This window comes from Homo sapiens, chromosome 1 (genome assembly GCF_000001405.40).
Source record: "Homo sapiens chromosome 1, GRCh38.p14 Primary Assembly".
NCBI lineage: Eukaryota > Metazoa > Chordata > Mammalia > Primates > Hominidae > Homo > Homo sapiens.
The window spans coordinates 115,930,215-115,946,196 of NC_000001.11; the positions used below are offsets into that span (position 1 = coordinate 115,930,215).

At 41.1% G+C, this 15,982-nt stretch overlaps 1 long non-coding RNA gene across 1 annotated transcript in view, besides 1 other annotated feature; it reads right to left on the minus strand.

The window, feature by feature from the left end:
* LOC101928977 (uncharacterized) overlaps nt 1–15,982 on the minus strand; it is a 54,704-nt gene that overhangs the window by 7,642 nt on the left and 31,080 nt on the right. The window lies entirely within an intron of this gene.
* Nucleotides 10,964–11,465: an enhancer, noted in NCBI's record as "NANOG hESC enhancer chr1:116483799-116484300 (GRCh37/hg19 assembly coordinates)". NCBI's record gives its function as "activates a minimal SCP1, AML or CMV promoter by ChIP-STARR-seq in primed H9 embryonic stem cells {active_cell/tissue: H9 hESC(primed)}" and the evidence as "EXISTENCE:reporter gene assay evidence [ECO:0000049][PMID:30033119]".

Consider the following 15,982-nt stretch of genomic DNA (forward strand, 5'->3'; position numbering starts at 1 on the left):
TTAATGTCAAAGAAACTTAATTTGCAAACTCTTTAGTAAAAGCCGCCTAGTAAAACAGATGATTAATATTGGTAAGCTCCTCATTTGCATATTAATTAGTCTCCGTACTCAACTAATTAAAACTGCACTGCCTATTTGCGGACTTTCTTCTATACTGCAGCCTTGTTTCTATGTATAAGCTTGTATTTTAACTAAAATAAGGGTTAGTGATTATGACTGTACTTTTCTTAACATACCGATTTTTCCATCTGTGATACTGAGGACTCCTCAAGGTCCTAGAACCATCTTGAAACTACCTTTGCACAAATTATAACAGTGAGAAAACTGTGACATAGGAAAATTATGACAGCAAAAGAAATCTGTCTCAACCTACTCCATCTTGTTTTTAACCTCCAAGCTGTCCTTGTTCATTCCAGGGCGTAGGCCGGGCTAACTATAAAAGGAATTTCGTTTATAGTTTAACTTTGAAACAAAGATGATAATAGTCCCTTCCCAAACCAAACCCCCTTTTTGCCTGGGAACCAGACCACCTTTGTAAAACTAACAAATTAGCCACAAGATTAGAAATTATGGCTCAGGAGTCATGCAGCCAGAGGCCACAAGATTCTAAACTTCCTGATATGGTTTGTATCTGTGTTCCTACCGAAATCTCCTGTCAAATTGTAATCCCCAGTGTTGGAGGTGAAGCTTGGTGGAAGGTGATTGGATCATGGGGGTGGACATCTCATGAATGATTTAGCACGATCTCCTTGGTGCTGTTCTTATGATGGTGAGTCTCATGAGATGCGGTTGTTTAAAAGTGTGTGTTACATCCCCCTACCCCTACCCGCCACTCTCTCTTCCTCCTGCTTCTGCCATATTAGATGCCTGGTCCCCTTTTGCCTTCAGCCATGATTGTGAGCTTTCTGATGCCTCCCCAAAAGCAGAAGCCACAATGCTTCCTGTACAGCCTGCAGAACCATGAGCCAATTAAACCTCTTTTCTTTATAAATTACCCATTCTCAGATATTTCTTTAGAGCAATGCAAGAACGACTAATATACTCCCCAATTGCTCCTATAAATAACATCGCTATTGTAAAACCTAAGATTGGTGTTTGAGATATTTTTCAGACCCTGCATCCTGATGAACCAACTGGCACCACCCAGACTGGTAAACTGGCCCAACTTGTTCTGCCATCCCACCCAGAAACTGAAGACAGCAAGAAGAACCTGCTTCAACCCCCTATGATTTCAGCCCCAACCCAACCAAAGCATTCCCCCACTCCCTAGCCCCATGACCACCAAATTACGCTTAAAAAACCCTAGTCTTCAAATTTTTGGGGAGACCAATTTAAGTAATAAAATTCTGGTCTTCTGTTTAGCCAGCTCTGCATTTATTAAACTATTTCTCTATTGTAATAATGCTATCTCAGTAAATTGGCTCTGTCTGTGCAAGTGCAACAGGCAAGAACAACTGTAAGGGCAGTTATAATCTCAAAGCAGCCATTTTATTGGGCCAAATCACTTTTGTCCCAGTATAGCCATATGTTGCTTAATGACGTGGATATGTTTTGTGAAATGCATCATTAGGTGATTTTGTCATTGTGTGACACCATACAGTGTGCTTATACAAACCTAGATGGCACAGCCTACTACACACCTAGGCTATATGGTTTAGCTCCTTCCTCCTGGGCTACAAACCTGTACAGTATGTTACAGCACTGACTACTGTAGGCGATTGTAATACAATGGTAAGCATTTGTGTATCTAAAAGTATCTAAATATAGAAAAAGTACAGTAAAAATACAGCATTATACTCTTATGGGACCACCATGAGAGCTGTGGTCTGTTGGTGACTGAAACCATATTGTGCAGCACATGACTGTGTTTGTGAGCTTCTTCAGATTTTGATGGGAAGAAAACAGTTGGATGACACAGTGACTGGCAATAATTAAAGTGGAAAAGGTACCAAATTGTATCTCAATATTTGGTGTTTTTAAGTCTGGCTCTAGGCCGGACGCAGTGGCTCACACCTGTAACACCAGCACTTTGGGAGGTCGAGGGGGGCGGATTACCTGAGGTCGGGAGCTTGAGACCAGCCTGACCAACATGGAGAAACCCCGTCTCTACTAATAATACAAAAATTAGTCGGGCGTGGTGGCGCATGCCTGTAATCCCAGCTACTCAGGAGGCTGAGGCATGAGAATCACTTGAACCTGGGAGGTAGAGGTTGCGATGAGCCGAGATCACGCCATCACACTCCAGCCTGGGCAACAAGAGCGAAACTCCATCTCAAAAAAAAAAGGTAAGTCTTGCTCTGTAAATGAATATATCTTTCCAGTATAATTTTTTATATTTAAACTTAGCTACTTTAAAATTATTTAATCATTATTTTACGATTTAATTTTTAGTAAACAATTATTGGGTGGGAAAGCAGGCTAATTTGTTGTTAAAAATTATGCTTGCAGAAAAGCTAGTGGTTTGGATCACAAGAACCCAGCTTTTATTGATGAGAATGGATTTCCACTGTAGACAAAACAAAACCAACTAAATAAACAAAAATAAAAAATACCTATGAAAGGCCGGGCATGGTGGATCATGCCTGTAATCCCAGCACTTTGGGAGGCTGAGGCAGGTGGATCACGAGGTCAGGAGTTCGAGACCAGCCTGGCCAACATGGCGAAATCCCATCTCTACTAAAACCACAAAAATTAGCCATGTGTGGTGGCAGGCATCTGTAGTCCCAGCTATTTGGGAGGCTGAGGCAGGAGAATCGCTTGAACCTGGGAGACGAAGGTTGCAGTGAGTCAAGATCGCACCACTGCACTCTAGCCTGGGCGACAGAGCAAGACTCTGTCTCAAAAAAAAAAAAAAAAAAAACCAGCTATGGAAAGAAACAACCTTTAAGTACAGAGCCATCAAATGAGATTCAGGAGAAATTATATCGGTCCAATAACCGAGTGACATTGAACAAATTGCTGAATTTCTCTTTCCTCTATTACAACAGAAAATAAGTATGCACAGAATATCCACATCAGGCATTTTCTTATGACACCCTCTCCCCAAATTGAGTAAGATGTCACTATTAGATTCTTTCATAGCTCCCTGTGTTTACTCTTCTCATAGCCTGTACTTCATGGTATATAGTCATATCTTTTTTTGTTCATACTCCTTATTGGATGCTTCTTCACAGCACAGTCTCTGTCTTGTCTATCATTATATCTCCCAGTGCTTAGCATTATTACAGGCATTATATATCCCAGTGCCTGTGATATTTAAATAATTGCCAAATAAATAAATGAATAAACAAATATATTAATACATGGATAAAAAATAAATAAGGCATGCGTTTTAATTATTTATGACTGTATGACAAAAAGCTCCAAAACTTAGAGACTAATAACAATAATTTACTATTTCTCATGATTCTGTGGGTTGCCTGGAAAGCTCTTCTGCTGTTTCACCTGAGTTCACTCATGGCGCTGCATTCAGTTGGGGGATTTCCAGGGGGTTGAGCTCAGCTGAGAAAGCTGAGGATCTGGACATTTCTCTCTGTAGGTCTTTCATCTTCAAGTTGGCTCCTTGGACTTCTTAACGTGGTGAGAGCAATGTGCCAATGTGCAAACACTTACTGAACTCACATCATGTTTGCTGACATCTCTTAGGCCAAAGCAAATCATTTAGCCAAGCCTAGAATAAATGTGGGAAGAAATTACACATGGGCATGAATACTGTATTTGGGAGACCCTGAGTGTAATAATGAACCACAAATGTCTCTACCTTAAGGGATTTCTTAATCCAGGGGTGTTCAATCGTTTGGCTTCCCTTGGCCACATTAGAAGAATGGTCTTGGGTCACACATAAAAAACACTAATATGATAGCTGATGTGCTTTAAAAAAAATCACAAAAAAGGCTGGGCACTGTGGCTCATGTCTGTAATCCCAGCTCTTTGGGAGACGGAGGTGGGAGGATCATGAGGTCAAGAGATTGAGACCATCCTGCCCAACATGGTGGAAATCCACCTCTACTAAAAATACAAAAATTAGCTGGGCGTGGTGGCACGCGCTTGTAGTCCTAGCTACTCATGAGGCTGAGGCTGGAGAATCACTTGAACCCAGGAGGTGGAGGTTGCAGTGAGCCAAGATTGCGCCACTGCACTCCAGCCTGGTGACAGAGTGAGACTCCATCTCAAAAAAAAAAAAATTGCAAAAAAACCTCACAATGTTTGAAGAAAGTTTACTGATTTGTGTTGGGCTGCATTCAAAGCCATCCTAGGCCACATGTGGCTCACAGGCTGAGGGTTGGACAAGTTTGTCTTAATCAAAGCAGATGAGTGAATATACAGCAAACCTAATGAAATAAATGTTATGCCAGAGATAACAACAAACTGCTTAGGATATAGGTACAGACAGCATTAGAGCCAGGAGGTCTTATTTTGAACCTCTCTCCTTTTATTAACTGCTGTGTGACCTTAGGTAAGTTATTTAACCTGTCAAAATAGTGGCTTTATGATTCTAAAAATGGGTATAAGACCTACTTGATATTTATTGCAACTTCCTTCTAATATGACATACTGTTATACAGAGGCTTGAAAAGCTAAAACCTGTATTTATCAGACTCCTTTGCAGCTAAAGCTCTTGATGTGACTTAGATCAACCGATTAAATATGTACTATGAGAACTGACTTTGAAACTGAATCAATTGGGAAAATATGAAGTGGCTTGAAGGGCATTGAAGGGCATCAACTTTTGCTGGAAGGATATAGCAGCTGTAGCACAACTCTGGGGCCAACGGTGCTGGTGGTGGAGTCACGTTCCAGTTACATGGCTTTGACATCAGAATCTACGAGTCTGCAGTAGGCATGGCACCTTCTGGACACCTAGTGTTCCACCTATAGTAGAGAGAGAAGTTCCCTGGGCAGGCTAATTCTGTTTTTTTTGAGATGGAGTTTTGCTCTTGTTGCCCAGGCTGGAGTGCAATGGCGCCATCTCGGCTCACCACAACCTCTGCCTCCCGGGTTCAAGCGATTCTTCTGCCTCAGCCTCCCAAGTAGCTGGGATTACAGGTGCCCGACACCACACCTGGATAATTTTGTATTTTTAGTAGAGACAGGGTTTTGCCATGTTGGTCAGGCTGGTCTCAAACTCCCGACCTCAGGTGATCCGCCCGCCTCCGCCTCCCAAAGTGCTGGGATTACAGGTGTGAGCCACCTCGCCTGGTCCCTGGGCAGGCTAGTTCTATGGTAGTGAACTGGGAGCCATTCCTGGAGGTCTTGTCTAAAGATGCTTCATTTAGACCTTTCAGAGCTTTTGTAGGCATCAAATTCCCTTTCTCCTTAAGGTGTTGAGAGTAGTTTCTGCTTTCTGGACTGAGCCCTGATGGATAGGTTGCTTTCCAAGATTATTGTGAAGTTTACTAGAGACACTTTATGTAAACTTGATTCATGCTTGGGAAGTGCTTACTTAGTAAATACTAATGTTCCTTCTCTTATAATTTTTATATACAAAATAACAGATGAAACCTCCAGATGTTTTTAAAGATTCTGACTCTCTCTTAATGTTTAGTTGGCATGTAAACACAATCTTTAAACAAAAACTTCCAGTCACACTAATATACAAACATGGAAATAGATTCAGAAATGCAAAATGCATCCTATTCTTAATCACCTTTTAACAAAGACTATGATCATGTTTTAAGAATAAGTGCCTAATCCTAACCTTGGGCAAAGCATTTTACTGCCTCAGTTTCTTCATTAAGGGCCTTAGTGTCCTCATTTATAAAGTGAAGGAGTTGGATTTACGTAATTTCTAAGACTTCTTCCTTCCTTGCTTCAAAACTGTGTGTTCTTTAAACCACTAAGCAATTACCTCCCAATGCTGGCCTATACATATGCAGTCAAAGTTTATCACTGGTTTCTGGGCTTCGCTAGTGGTCTGAAATTGTGTAAAAAGAGTTGACCCTGTGTCTTTATGTACTTGTTAGTTCTCAAATAAGCTAGGATAACCACTCCCTCTCATAAAGCATGTTTTAGCTCTTTTATCGATAATAATATATTTTCCTGACCAAATGAATATGGATCCAACACTCCTAAACACAATTCACAATTCCTCTCCCCCTTTAACACTTAAGCAAGCACTGTCATCATTATCATTGATAACCTTTATTACACAATTATTATCTATTGAGCCCTTATATTTTCTTATTTGCATGATTTATTGCCAATTTGATTTCCACAACACCCGATACACTTTTTTGATATGATGAGACTAAGGCTGAAAGAAGTTAAGCAAGTTATCGAAGGTCACAGAATTACCAAGTGGCAGAGTTAGATGTTGACTAGGTTTATTTGAACTGAAAGTTTCTTAACAAGTACATTAGATGACTTCTTAATAATAATAATAAGTAGTAGTAGTATTGAAAATAGTATTATCTTAGCTGAGTGCTTATTATATGCCTTTAAGTACTCTGCTGTCTTATTCATATCTGAATTCTCATAATTTACAGCTTAAACCCTATTATAACCATCATTTTATAAATGAAAAAAATTGAAGCTTGTTAATTTTAAGTGTCTTTTTTTTTTTTTTTGTCTTTTTTTTGAGACAGGGTCTCACCCTGTTATCCAGGCTGGAGTGCAGTGGCATGGTCCCGGCTCACTGCAATCTCTGCCCTCTGCCTCCCAGGCTCAAGCATCCTCCCACTTCAGCCTCCCAACTAGCTAGGACTACAGGCGTGCACCATCATGTCTAGCTAATTTTTGTATATTATTTGGTATAAGCAAGGTTTCACCATGTTGCCCAGGCTGGTCTCAAACTAACAGGCTGAAGCCATACACCCGCCTCAGTCTCCCAAAGTGCTGGGATTACAGGCGTGAGCCACTGAGCCTGGCCTAAGTGTGTCTTGACCAAAGTTATTCAGCTCCACTAGCGGAGGTGGACTGTGAACCTCAGCAGTATGAAATCAGAGTGTTTTCACCTGCCATGCCTTATTGCCTCCTGTCTCCTGATAGTGATGATATTGAAGGAAAAACCTTGACTCTGCTTTAATTTATGGACAAAGTAATTTGTTTGCACATTTAAAAGCTGTATAAGTAACAAAGTACTTATGGCACTCCCCCACAATTGATTCTGCCCATCAGTGTGCCACCACACCACTCCTGAGAACCACTCACACAGAGACTAACGAGTACAAATAGAGGGAAAGAATGTGTAGGTAAGAAAAGCTATGGTATGAAGCTGGTTATGGTGGCTCACACCTGTAATCCCAGCACTTTGGGAGGCTGAGGTGGGCAAATCACTTGAGGCCAGGAGTTCGAGACCAGCCCAGCCAACATGGTGAAACCCCTTCTCTACTAAAAATAAAACCAGGTGTGGTGGCGTGCACCTATAGTCCCAGCTATTCTGAAGGTTGAGGTATGAGAATCACTTAAGCCCAGGAAGTGGAGGTTGTAGTGAGCCAAGATCGTGCCACTGCACTCCAGCCTGGGGGACAGAGCGAAACTCTGTCTCAAAAAGAAAAAGAAAAAAAGAAAAGCTTTGGTATGGACACACACTCCCCTTTTTCTCATTTTTTTTTTGTGTGTGTGTGTGAAGACCGTAACAACCTTTTAATTAATTTGTTTATTTTTAAGCTACTTCTGAATAACATAACAACCTTTATTATTTTCCTGCCAAAGCCACAGAATTTCTGATCCTATTTCTATTAGGCTGGCAGTGATTATGGGAAACCACTTTATATTTCCCTTTTAAACATAACTTTCGATGTTATATAGACATTAGTTTATAATTTATGGATTTTTTTGGAAAAAAAAGTATAGCCCTTTTAAAATCTGAGTCAATCTTATAAGTGAGCTAGAATGCCTATTGGATTTAATAAGAAAAAAATTATAAATCTAAGCAATTAATTATTAAGCACCTAACAGCCAAATGCAGCACCTGTGGGCAGAGAGGCCCTCTCCTTTGAGGAGATGAAAACTAATTGCAAAAGCAGAGATGCTGAGAAGTCACACTGGGAGGCATGGAGTGCCCGTAGCAGTTGTCATTTTCCATTTTCTGAGCCACATTAAAAGGAAAGGTAGAGATCTAAGGAAAAAGTATTTAAAACACCTTGGGAAATTTATTTAATAACCAAGCATGAAAAAAAAAATGGGTAATAATGAAAGCCAGTAAGAAAAGTGGTAAGGGGATGTTTAATCTGGGTTTCAGGAACTCTGTGAGCCTTGAGGTTTTTAATCTCTGAAAGGTCACAGGTGTAGCACACAGTAGGTGCTCAAACATCATTAAAATAACCAGCTAATTGATGAATGGATGGATGGATTTTTCCCCTAAGTTTGAGAAAAGAGGAAGTTTGATATTTGTAAATATTATTGAACATAGTACCTGTTATAGACTAAATGTTTATGTTACCCCAAAACTCAGATGTTGAATCCCTAGCCCTCAGTGTGATGGTCTTTGAAGATGGGGCCTGTGGAAGGTATGTAGGATTAGATGAGGTTATGAGGGTGAGGCCCTGCTCCGATGGAATAGGGCCATTATTAGAAGAGACACAAGAGTGTTTGTTCTGTCTCTTACTCTACACATACAAATTGAGGAAGAGCCATGTGAGGACACAGCAAGTCAGATGGAATGCCCATGCCAGGAACTGAATGGGCCAGCACCTTGATCTTGTACTTCCCAGACTCCAGAACTGTTAGAAATTAATTTCTCAGCCTGGCCAACATGGCAAAACCCCATCTCCACTAAAAGTACAAAAATTAGCCCACCATGGTGGTGGGCACCTGTAATCCCAGCTACTCAGGGGGCTGATGCAGGAGAATTGCTTGAACCTGGGAGGTGGAGGTTGCAGTGAGCTGAGATTGCACCACTGCACTCCAGCCTGGGCAACAAGAGTGAGACTCCATCTCAAAAGAAAAAAAAATTAATTTCTGTTGTTTAAACCACTCAGTCTGTGGTATTTTGTTATGGCAGCCCACACAGGCTGAGATCACACCTATACCTAAGTCCTCATATATCTTTAAAGTTTGTGCTACTTGGGTACACATATAATTATAGAACTGTACATAGATTATACATTGTAAATATATGTACATACAAATATTAGTCATTTTAATTTCTAAAAATAAGTTACTTTTGAATGTAAAATAACTTCCCAATTGAATGAAAATTGTACTATTTCCTATGACTCAGAAGACTACATCCAAGAAGAAGTTGGTATTCAAATCATGCGACCATACCTAGGGCCCCTCAGTTAATGTGGTGCTATAATATTCAACCTGTAAGCAGCATATCAAGGGAGGAATTTAGGTCTCTTGAGTATAGGCGAGGCACAAACCCATACTTCATAGTTCACTTTCATTTGTCTCTCTCTTTATTTCTCCCTTGGGACACATAATGATAGAAAACTAATCGAGGCTAGTGGCCACGACCTGGGGTGTGCTGGATGCAATACGGGGGAGCCGTTAGGGCTTTCAGTGGAGATTCAAAGCCCTCGGGGACTGTATCTGGGGACAGGGCCTTGCTGGCAACTTCAGAGCTGGATATCTCTCTCATAGTAAATACAAATCAACCCTAAGCATTGGATAGACAGAGTGCTAATTAAGTCCCTAGTTATGAGAGCTCTTGCTTTATGTGTGGGAGCAGTTCTTTCCTTGGGTTTACATAGTCAAGAGCTGATAGCTTTTTAGAAATTTGTCATAAAGGTGAGTATCTCCCTGCAAGCATGGTATAAGAGTACCAAAATCCTGGAGACAATGGTTAGAGCTCATCTCCATTTCTTATTAACTATGATCTTTAGAGTGTTGTTATAGTTTACTGAGACTTTTTGCTTCTCTGCAAAATGGGGCTAATAATGGGGCTAATAATTTCTGCCCTACCTGCCTCAGAAGGTTAATCTCAGAAACAAGTGAGGAACATTTGGGCATGAGAAAACCTTTCAGGAATAAAATTATAATTTTTTACACCAGCAGTTGGCAAACTCTGGCCCACAGGTCAAATCTATCTCACTGAATGTTTCTGTATGGTCCACAAGCTAAGAATAGTTTTTACATTTTTAAATGGTTGAGAAGAAGCATATATTATGATGTGAAAATTGTATGAAATTCAAATTTCAGTGTCCAAATGAATGAGTATAAATGTTCACTTGTTTACCTATTATCTATAGCTTATCTTATGTCTTAACACTACCATGTTAAAGTTGAGTATGGCCCATAAAATATTTTCAGTCTGGCCCTTTACAGAAAATATTTGTCAACCCCTGCTCTACACAAGTGTGTAAGTCAAGGTTTTCCAGAGAAATAGAACCAGCAGGAGATATAGGTTAGGCTGTTCTTGCATTGCTACAAAAAATACCTAAGGCTGGGTAATTTATAAAGAAAATAGGTTTAATTGGGTCACAGTTCTGCAGGCTTTACAGGAAGCATGGTGCTGATGTCTGCTCAGCTTCTTGTGAAGCCTCAGGGAGCTTTCAATCATGGAAGAAGGCGAAGGGGGAACAGGCACACCACATGGCAAAGGCAGGAGCAAGTGAGAGGGTGGGAGGAGGTGCCACACATTTTTAAATGACCAGGTCTTGTGAGAACTCACTATCTCGAAGGCAGCACCAAACTACGAGGGATCCACCCTGATGACCCAAACACCTCCCACCAGGCCCCACCTCCAGCACTGGGGAATCACAGTTCAACATGAGATTTGAGTGGGGACAAATGCCCAAACTATATCAAGGTATATCTCTATATATCCTAGTATAGGATAAATACATACATATATATATATATATAAATATATATATAATATATATATTATATAATACACACACACACACGAGGAGAGACAGAGATTATGGGAACTGGTTCATGCTATTATGGAGGCCAAGAAGTCCCCTGATCTGCCATTTATAAGCTGGTAGTATAATTTAGTCCAGGGCTGAAGGCCCAAGAACCAAGAGTGCAGATGTCCAAGGGCAGAAGATAGATGTACCAGTTTAGAAAGAGAGAGAATCAATCCTTCCTCCACCTTTTTGTGGTATTTGGGCCCTCAGTGAATTGGGTGATGCCTACTCATATTGGCGAGGACAGATCTTCTTTACTCAGTCATCTGAGTAAATGTTTCTCTCTCCCAAGGCTTGTTCAATAGGCTCATGAATAACCATCACGGGCCCCAGTGATACAGCAAGTATATTCATAGGCTTACCATCATGGATTTTGCTTCTGTCCTTGGGAAAGAGGTGCTATTGTCACTGGCTATCACCACTTCTGAGCGACCAACTTGTTCTCATTGTTAACTAATCCTGGTGTTTGAATATGCAACCATATTCCTTAGGCACCCAGCTAGTCCTCAGTAACACTGGACTCCTACTGCAAGTGGGAAGGCAGCAGTCCATCCTCTCTGGAACAAATCTATGCCCTGGGCTCAGAGTTGCTGTCCCTGCCCACCATGCTTCATGGTTCTGCCCTCATGATCTGTAGAAGCAATGCATGCCGAGGACACCAACAGGCGTCCCACCAGCCTGGTTCTGACCAAAGAACTGACTGCTCTCTGAAAGAAGTAAGGCAATAAATGGAATTTACAGGACTTGTTCCTCCTCACTTGAAGCCACTGGCCTTACAGAACAGTAATGACAACTCACATTTACATGCTAGGCACTCCTCTAAGAACCTCCCATATGACAACTTATTTAACCCTTAAAACAGCCTTTTGAGATAATTACCATAATTATATTAATTTCTAAGAAGAGGACACTAAAGCAAGTATGGTTAATAGACTGACTCTTGTCACTCAGTAAGTGGGGTCTGAGACTTGAACCCAGACAGTCCAGCTCCAGAGCTTGTGCTTGTAACTGCTGCTACTCATAACCGCTACTACCCATAACCACACTGCCTACAACAGAGGAATGGAACTGCCCTTCAAAGGCCCCATTATGGTGTCTTATTAGAAAGAAAGGCAGGTGAGTTTACAGTGTGGGGGTGAAGTTTATTTTTTGAACAAGTGGTCAATCTCTGGTGCCATTTCTGCCACAGCAAGAATATACTCATATGTGAATCAAGAGGATGGAAGCTGGAGTTATGCCCACTTCCACGTGGGAAATTTTGCTTACGTTCTCCATAACTCAGGGCTCCACTGATATAGAGGATTTAGAATCAAAGGAGGAATCATCAAGGGGAATAAGGTAATGGCTCCACTGAATTAGCAGCTGAATTATTGGCCTATTTTAGGCTTCTCATGACAGTGGTGAAAAAGGGGAGCTCTGGAATAGATCAGGCTGCTTGAGCTCAACTATTTCAAGGGAATATATCAGTTAGGTTGCAACCGGCTTTGAGTAACAATGACAGCAATACATTTAAAAATAACCCAATCATACCAACCTAAATCATAGAGGTCTGGAGGAAGGCAGTCCACAGGTGGATTCATGGCTCAAAGATATCATCCAGGCTGGGTGCAGTGGCTTATGCGTGTAGTCCCAGTACTTTAGGAGGCCGAGGCAGGTGGATCACAAGGTCAGGAGTTCAAGACAAGCCTGGCCAATATGGTGAAACCCCATCTCTACTAAAGAATACAAAAATTAGCCAGGCATGGTGGCATGCACCTGTAGTCTTAGCTACTTGGGAGGCTGAGGCAGGAGAATCGCTTGAACCCGGGAGGCGGAGGTTGTGGTGAGCTGAGATCGCGCTACTGTACTCCAGCCTCAGTGACAGAGTGAGACTCCATCTCAAAAAAAAAAAAAATCATCCAAGAACCAGGTTCTTCCCAGCACCCTCCTCCCTTGGCTGCTTTGTGGTGCCACCCCTAACAGTGCCGAGATGGCTGCAACAGAACCTGAAATGAGTGAGTGTGTGAGTGAAGCAAAGGACTAGGGACAGTGGGGAATCTATTTCTGTGACTGGCTCCTGCAGTTTCCAGGCCAACAGTTCCCTGTGGCAGCATCAACCATCCAGTGCTGGTGGTGGTGCCGCCAGGATATCCACGACTCAGCTGTGCAGCAGTCTTCTCACCAGGTAGTCCCATTGGTGTGATTATGGTTGTGGCTCTCACTTCCTTGCCTCCATTTGTTCCTAGTCATTTTCTGACCCTGATTCTCTAAGCCCTCCCAGTGAGTCAGTGAGCTACCTGATATCTCTTTGGTTCTCTTTTCCCTGTTTATATCAGCAAGAATCAATTTCTGATGTTGTAGCTAAGAAATCTGATTGATAACATGGCTGTTTAATTGATTTGTTGAAAGTGAAGTTTTCTTTCTTTTTCGTGTTTTAAAAATTTTTTAAAATTATTTATTCATGTATTTTGTTTAATAGATGGGGGTCTTGCTATGTTGGCCAGGTTGGTCTTGAACTCCTGGCCTCAAGTGATCCTCCCACTTTGGCCTCCCAAAATGCTGGGATTACAGGCATGAACCACCTTACTCTGCCTCTTTTTGGTGTTTTCAGTGGGTTTCAAATATTGCCAGAGGGCAAATACACCTTTACTAGAATGTAGGCTTTACCAAGTCTCTAGTTTATTTTAACGGCTTCCTGTCAGTGAAATTCAGGCCACACAAGTCCTGAAAAATATTCTGGGAAAGAGGCATAGCTGTTCACAAATACCATTTATTGAGGACTTACTATGAGCTAGGTATACAAAAAGTAATTTAATATGGATTTAATTCTCATTGTGTTATCTACGTTTTACAGATAAGGAAGTCGGTATGTAGATCAGTCACACAGGGTACAATAGCAAATGACCCCGTGCTACCCAACTGCAAAGGCCTGGGATATTTCCAGTGTACTAGATCATTATTTTCTTTTACTTATGTTGTCAGAAATTAAAGCAATAGATTGTGCCCTTCCAAAGTCTCCATAATACTGCTCAGCCAACTGAAGTTGAAGTTGATATCAAAGGCATCTATTTTGGAATCTATCCGCAGGATTTTGTCTAGCCAAAGGACCATAAAGACATTGATAGCTTTTTAATGTACAGTAAGGTCAGTGGCACAAACCCTGAGGTTACCTTTAAAGTGTGGCTTGGCGTTACCTAAGCTGGACCTGCCTTGCACTGGACTTGTTTATCATGCTGGATCACCCATATACTCCTCTAAGAGAAACTTCACACCTCCATCCAGTCCCTGTAGCTGAAGCAGGCATGTTTTATAGTAATTTCCATAATTAATGAGCAAGGAACTACTTGCCTGAAGGTCATCAATTTATAGACTGGCCTGTGGCTTATGCAGCCTGTTTTAGAAAGATGGGTCATTCAGATAGGTCTTATCTAAGTTAGGAATTGGGAAACTGAGAAAGAGAGGGTGTTTGCAGCAGAGGTGAAGGTAAAAGCATGTTTTGATGTAAAATTGATTCAAAAGTTACATGAAAGCTAATGTTAGGAGGAGGTAAAGTTTATGCTCTCTGAAACAGAAGATGAGGAAGCCATTTGGTGGAGAGAAGAGGGTGCAAAAAATGAGCAGAGATAAATAGTGATATTCTGAGAGAGGAAGGAAAAACAGGAAGAGGAGGGAGAGAAGGGCCTGGGGCTTCCTGGATTTTCTGAATTTTCCAGGAAACTTTCGTGGATCCCTGTTCCTTAAACTCACTATACTTTTTGAAACTCTCTTTCTCATCAACCTTTAAAAAGGAAACTTGTGAACTAATTTGTCTTTCATCTTTTTAGTTTTCCCCCATTCTTCCTCCTGTGGCCTAACTAATCCAATAGCTAGAACCAAGAGAAAAGTGAAATAGAAAGCAAGCCTGGATAATCCACAAACATAAAAATCAGACACTGAAGGGTAGAACTTGATATTTTGTGCTAAACCCTAGGCTTTTATAACCCCTCTGCTCCCCTCTGTGGATAAAGGCAGAAATGAGAGGATTTTTCATTCTATAAAATCCAAAAGCAGAAGCAAAATGAAATTCTTTTCTATGACTTTTTTTTCATGACTATGAAATGAAAACATCAGTGTACTTCCTTATAAAAAATGTGTTTTTTTTTCCTGATTCAACAACCTCCCCCACTTAAGTCTAAGGTGTTCTAAACACATACCTGGATCTTACCTCCAAAATGCCAGGCAGATGGTTTGAGTGGGAAAAGCCAGAGGGGGCAGTCATTTTTGCTATAGGTTAGCTAAAAGACTAACACCCCTCATCCACATGAATCTACTTCACACCAAAGCAAAGAAAGGGAGGGCCTCTCTTCCTTTGTGACCCAATGATAATAATCCCCTATAGCAGCTGAAGAGTTGATGGAGGCTCTGAGAATAGTTTCATCTCAGGCCATTTGGCTTTCAAAGCTCCTTCCACCAACCTGCAGAGAAGGGTCTCCTGGGCTCCTCTGTTTTTATCTCCTCCTATTTGCTATTGTTTTTCCTTGCTCAGCATTGCACAGAATATAGGTTAGCAATGAAGAAACTGTGGTGCAAAGCTTAAGCCTCTGGGCTCTAGAGACAAACCTCTAGTGTTCAAACCTTGCCTGTGCCACTTACAAATAGATTGATCTCTCTGAGCTTCAGTTTCCTCATCTGTAAAAACGCAGATGATATTATTACTTTCTACCTGTAGGACTAAAAGGTACTATTTGTAGGGGTCCAGGATAATGTCTAGCACATAGTGCACCATAATAAGTGCTTGCTAAATCAACGAACTTGCTCCAAGGAAAGGAGACTCCTCCACAAAAGAAAGACAGGCTGGTGGAAATAGAGCTTTCTTTGAAAAGAAATGAACTGTGCTTCTTGCTATAGTGATTTGTTTTCTTTGCAGGAAATTTCCATTTCATAATTAATCTCTACTATGCCACTGAATATTCTAAAGTAAGAGGGTATTTCAAATAATAGGTAATGTGCTTTTGGAAAAAAGAAACATTAAAAACAGAAATGTACTGTTTAAATATAGTTTAATTTACTGCCAATTTTGGGCATGGAAATCAGCAAAAATTAAAAAAGAATGAAAGAGTTTGAGGTAGTTGTGCCAAAAGACCTGGGCTGAATTCCAGCTCTGCAGCCTTTTAACTATTTTACTTCTGGCAAGGCCCTTACCCCGCCCCGCCAGCTTCAGT